This window comes from Homo sapiens, chromosome 6 (assembly GCF_000001405.40).
Source record: "Homo sapiens chromosome 6, GRCh38.p14 Primary Assembly".
NCBI lineage: Eukaryota > Metazoa > Chordata > Mammalia > Primates > Hominidae > Homo > Homo sapiens.
This window is the reverse complement of record NC_000006.12, coordinates 38,669,200-38,675,347: the sequence shown is the minus strand read 5'-3', so window position 1 is coordinate 38,675,347 and position 6,148 is coordinate 38,669,200.

Here is a 6,148-nt window from a genome sequence, read left to right as displayed (position 1 = left end):
GATTTTGGTATCCATGGGCAGTCCTGGAACCAATCCTCCACATACACCGAGGGACAACTGTATATGGTAACACTACGCCTTGTTAGGGAAAAGAACAATTCACTTCCAAATTCACTTACCTGAGAAGTTGTACGAAAGTACAAAGTAGGTCACAAGAAGTAAGTTTTCTTATTTTCCATGATCATGGTCAATGTAAAACAAGTCAGTCTCCTATGAGCCCTACATAGCTAAGGCTAGAATGATTATAATACAGGTGGTTTGAATGAAGAGCAGATGGCTGAAAGGGAATCACTTGAGGCTTTCCCACACAGTATTTTGACCATGATTGCATAGAGTGTGTCTTAGTTGAGGCAATTTTAATAAAAATACCATAGACCGGGTGGCTTAAACAACAAACATTTATGTCTCACAGTTCTGGAGGCTGGGAAGTCCCAAGATCAAGGCACCAGCAGATCCAGTGTCTGGTGAGGACCCACTTCCTGACTTGTAGACAGGCACCTTCTCACTGTGTTCTCACACATCCAAGATAAATCATCTCTTAAAAGGGCACTAATTCCATTCATGAGGGTTCTACCCTCATGACATTACCTCCCAAAGGCCCCACCTCCGAATACCATCACACTGAAAATTAGGCTTAAACATATGTATGGAAGGGAGCCGCAGGACACAAACATTCAGTCCATAGTACAGTATATATAAATAATCCTCAGCCATCCAACTGATTATGAAGAGTGTTAGTAAGGATGCTTGCTATTGGCAATAAGAAAAAAAGCCAGCACTTAAGAGATTGTAAAATGGATTGGTTGACCAGGCGCAGTGGCTCACGCCTGTTATCCCAGCACTTTGGGAGGCTGAGGCAGGTGGATCACTTGATGTCAGGAGTTTGAGACCAGCCTGACCAGCAAGATGAAACCCTGTCTCTACTGAAAATACAAAATTTGCCAGGCATGGTGGTGGGCACTTGTAATCCCAGCTGCTTGGGAGGCTGAGGCAGGATAATCACTTGAACCTGGGGGGTGAGCTGAGATCACGCCATTGTACTCCAGCCTGGGCAACAAGAGCGAAACTTCGTCTCAAAAATAATAATAAAATGGGTTGGTAGAGGGTTCAGAGATAACAAGAACCCCAGATTATTTCCATCTTTCCCATCCTGTCATTTTTAGCATTTTTTCTCACTGGACCAATAATATGATCAAAGATGCCTACCATGATTCTAGGTATCATGTGTAGACCAACAATGTTGATAGGATTTGGCTGTGTTCCCACCCAAATCTCACCTTGAATTGAAGTTCCCATAATCCCCACATGTCATTGGAAGGACCCAGTGGGAGGTAATTGAATCATGGGTGTGGTTTCCCCCATGCTATTCTCGTGATAGTGAGTTCTCACGGGATCTGATGGTTTGATAAGGGGCTTCCCCTTTCTCCTTCCTGCCACCCTGTGAAGAATGATGTGTTTGCTTCCCCTTCCGCCGTTATTGTAAGTTTCCTGAAACCTTCCCACCCTTGCAGAACTGTGAGTCAATTAAACCTCATTCCTTTATAAATTACCCAGTCTCGGGCATGTCCTTATAGCAGCATGAGAACGGACTAATAGAAATGTCCAGTGAAAGAAAATATCATTTTATTCCTCATGTGTCTTTGATAAGGAGTGAAAAACCTTTCCCTAAGCTCCTCAGCAAAATTCCCGTCATATCTCAACCAGTACTGGGTCACTTACCTGTCTAATCACTGGCCAAGGGGGTGGGAACACTCTGACTTAGATGGATCGTATTTACCCAAGCTGGCTGCATGAGGGTGGACAGTGAATCAGAATTGAGACTGCCAGAATGGAGGAGCAAATAGGGGCTTCTGGGTAGGTGTAAACAGAAACCGCACCCAGAGTCAAATTAGATATTGAGAATTAGATATTAGGTGCAGAGTACTGTAAGAAATGAAACATTTCTTGCCCTCAGAGCTTAGGTCTGAGATTGTGGTTCTCAATCATATTAGACTTAGCTGACCCTGTTTATAATAACATTGTAACATAATATCTATCACATCCACTATCCTGAAATGACATTCACATGATATAACCTACTTATTGGCACGACATGAAGAAACATCAGTCAATACCTTTATGGTAATATGAAGGAGAAATATAATCAGGTTGCAATAAAATTGTGCATTTTAGTATGTCAGTGCCCACATAGACTAGAAGACAATGGAGTAGTCAGGTGCTTGCCCTTACATATGGAAGAAGAAAACATCAGAGTATTGTTGACACTCTTTGATATTTTAAATAAAGACTGAATTTATGATTCATGAAGAGCTATAATTTTACAAATTTAAATACATATTCATAACAGGTGCATTTTACTGATGACTCAAAAACATGATGTTATGTTGGAAATATTTCCCAAAATGGTGATCAATTCTTGCTAAAGTTTCGAATAAAAGAGTAACTTTTTTGTTTATAGAATAGTTTTTTCCCTAGCAAATATTAAAATTATAAATGCAAATAAGTAAGATACAAGTTGTAAGTTCAGATAATAAAAAGCAGGCTTTAATTCTTTTTTAAAATTTAGAATAGTTTTAGATTTGCAGAAATGTTGCAAAGATAGTGCAGAATTCACATACACCACATACCTAGTTTCCCCTATTTTAAAAATCTTACATTAGTGTGGGACATTTATCACAATTAATGAAACTATATTGATATTATTAACTGAAGTCCATACTTATTCCAATTTCCTTCATTTTTACCTGCTGTTTCCTTACAGGTGACATTCAGGAAACCACATTCCATTTAGTCACCATGTATCCTTAGGCTACTCCAGACTGTGACAGTTTTTCAGACTTTCCTTGTTTTTGATGACTTTGACAGCTTTGAGGAGTACTCACTAGGTATTTTGCAAAACGTTTTTCAATTGGGATCTTCTGATTTTTTTTGTCATGATAAAACTGGGATTATTGTTTTTTGGAGGAATACCACAGAGACAAAGTGCTCTTGTCACATCAAGGGGACATACTATCAACATGACATGTCCCTGATCTTACTATGTTAACCTTAATCACCTGGCAGTGGTAGTGATGAGGAAGAAACTCATTATGTAAAGCCCACACTGGCTGGGGGGAGTTATGCTCCATCTCCTTGAGGGGAAAAGTAGGCTTTTTACCTATATGAATACTCAGTGGGACTTTCCAAAGTTATACAGGTCATTACAGGATGTCTAACATCCCTGCTCACCATCCACTAAATACCAATAGTGAAACCCAACCAAAAATGTCCCACAAGTCTCCGAAGTAACCCCTAGGGGTCAGTACTGCTCTGTTGAGAACCACTGGTCTAAGATTTCCAATTCAAGTTTCCTTAGAGTGTGAATTTAAAGCATTTATAAAGAAATCTGAGTACAGAATTCCTAATTTTATGCTTTCCTCCTTATTTACAGATGCTTTTTTCCTGCCTCTAATTCAGGAATTTATTTTAGGTATTTGCCTTTGAGTGTTCTTCTTTTATATAACTTTGTTTTACAAAAACTCATATTTTACATAAACTCATTTTCTTTTTACATGAACTCATATTTTATTGCCTTATATAATATTTAATTAAATTATATATTTAAAATTACAAGGATGATTGGATTGAGCACATTGGCAGTAGACACAATCGACTTGACAAGTAACTCATCTGAGGAAGTAGAAATGCACAGAGTGGCCAACTGGTTATAGTTACTCAGCCTGACAGGGCATCAGTTCTTTATTGAGGAAATGGTGAGTGCGGTTAATCCAATAACAGGTTAAGTGGAAATTGGTTAAGAGAATTTCTACTGTAAATGCATCGATTTGAGTCCTATCAATATTAGCAAAGGCTGAGTGCGGTGGCTCATGCCTGTAATCACAACAGTTTGGGAGGCCAAGGCGGGTGGGTTGCTTGAGCTCAAAAGTTCAAGACCAGCCTGGGAAACATAGGGAGGTCCCCATCTCTAGAAAACATAATACAATTAGCCGAGTGTGGTGGTGTGCATCTGTGGTCTGAGCTACTTGGGAGCTGAGGTGGGAGGATTGCTTGAGCCCAGGAGGTCAAGGCTGCAGTGAGCTATGATTGCCACTGCACTACCGTCTGGGTGACAGAGGGAGACTCTGTCTCTAAAAATATATATATAAGAAAATATTACAGAAGATTGTTTAATGCCAGTACCTAGGATTGCTCTAGTTGTAATGAAATAGGCACTTTTATAGACTTCATCCAAACCACTTCAATTTTACAGTAAGTTTCACGAGTTATTTTATAAAGACTTAAAATGTTCACATCTTATCTGGAAATAATGTGATATTCTGGGAATTCTGTATCCTAGAAAATATTGTATCCTTGAAAATTTATTGCTTGTATCACTTTTCATAATAGCAAAAAATAAACAAATGTCCAAAACTTGGGAAATCATTAACTTTTATAGTACCCACAATGATAGAATATTATCTATTCTACTTTAACACCACTAAATTGTGTCTTTAAAGAATGCTTAAAGATGTAGAGAAATGGTTATGAGATATCCAGTGGAAAAAGCAAGTTTATGTACATTATGCTTTTGTTAGAAAAGATACATGTACACATAGAAATCACTAGAAGGAAATATACCAAATTTTGATTATTGCTGGCTGCTGGGATTACCAATGATTTTATTTCCTTCATTATATTTTTCTGTATTTTCCAAATTCTCTAAAATGAACAAGTGTCACTTTTATAACACGGAATAATTAAGTGATATTGCTTAATTTGCTAACATTTACATTTTTACCTTTTGAGTAAAATGAGGTATTTTAACAACATCTCTGCTACCCAAACTTCTATTCAGGATGGTAACATATTAAAGATTAGAAGGTACTTTTTTTTTTTATTTTTTGAGACAGAGTTTCGCTCTGTTGCCAGGCTGGAGTGCAGTGGTGTGATCTCTGCTCACTGCAACCTCCAACTCCTGGGTTCAAGTGACTCTCCTGCCTGGGCCTCCCAAGTAGCAGGGACTACAGGTGTGCACCACCACGCCCAGTTAATTTTTGTATTTTTAGTAGAGACGGGGTTTCCCCATGTTGGCCAGGCTGGTCTCGAACTCCTGACCTCAGGTGATCTGCCCACCTCAGCCTCCCAAAGTGCTGGGATTACAGGTGTGAGCCAGCGCACCTGGCCTTAGAAGATACTTTTATATATTAAGTTATTCAAAGCTCTGTATGGTTAAAATGACTTATAATTCCAAACGATCAAGTTCCATTTAGTGACATGCAAAATTTCTTTAATCATTTAAGGATAATGTTTAGTTGTGTTCTTTTTTTTTTTTTTTTTTTTTTTTGAGATGGAGTCTCACTCTGTCGCCCAGGCTGGAGTGCAGTGGCGCAACCTCGGCTCACTGCAAGCTCCGCCTCCTGGGTTCACGCCATTCCCCTGTCTCAGCCTCCCAAGTAGCTGGAACTACAGGTGCCCGCCACCATGCCTGGCTGGCTAATTTTTCTATTTTTAATAGAAACGGGTTTCACTCTGTTAGCCAGGATGGTCTCGATCTCCTGACCTCGTGATCCACCCGCCTTGGCCTCCCAAAGTGCTGGGATTATAGGCGTGAGCCACCAGGTGCCTGGCCCCAGTTTTTTGTTTCTTTTGTTGTTGTTGTTAAGTTGACACAGGTAAGTAAAAGCCCATGAAGGAAGTTAGCATTATATTTTTATCTACACTGCCTTCTCTTAGCTGATTCTGAAGGAACTTTCTTTGTTGCTAATATTCATTTTGCATTTTAAAACTGTAGTCTAAAATTGTACCATAAACCTATGACATAATTTGGCACAAGTACTGCCCTGTGTTTATTTAAGAAAATATAGCCAGTGCACGTTGAAAACCAGCACAGTAGAGTCATCAGTATTTTGAACAGCCTCACTACTCCAAGGGTGGCCCCTGTACCGGCAGCATCAGCATCACCTGGTTGCTGGTGAAAAATTAAGAATTTCAAGCTTCATCTCAGACCTCTGAATCAGAATCTGTATTTTCAAAGAATCCCCAGGTGATCTGTGTGCACAATAAGTTTTGAGAGGCACTGTGGTACAGACTCCTTTTTAAAGTCACTAGTGTCAGCAGAGAAGTACATTTATCTCCAAAATATGATTTTTTTCTCCCACTCTTTAAATAT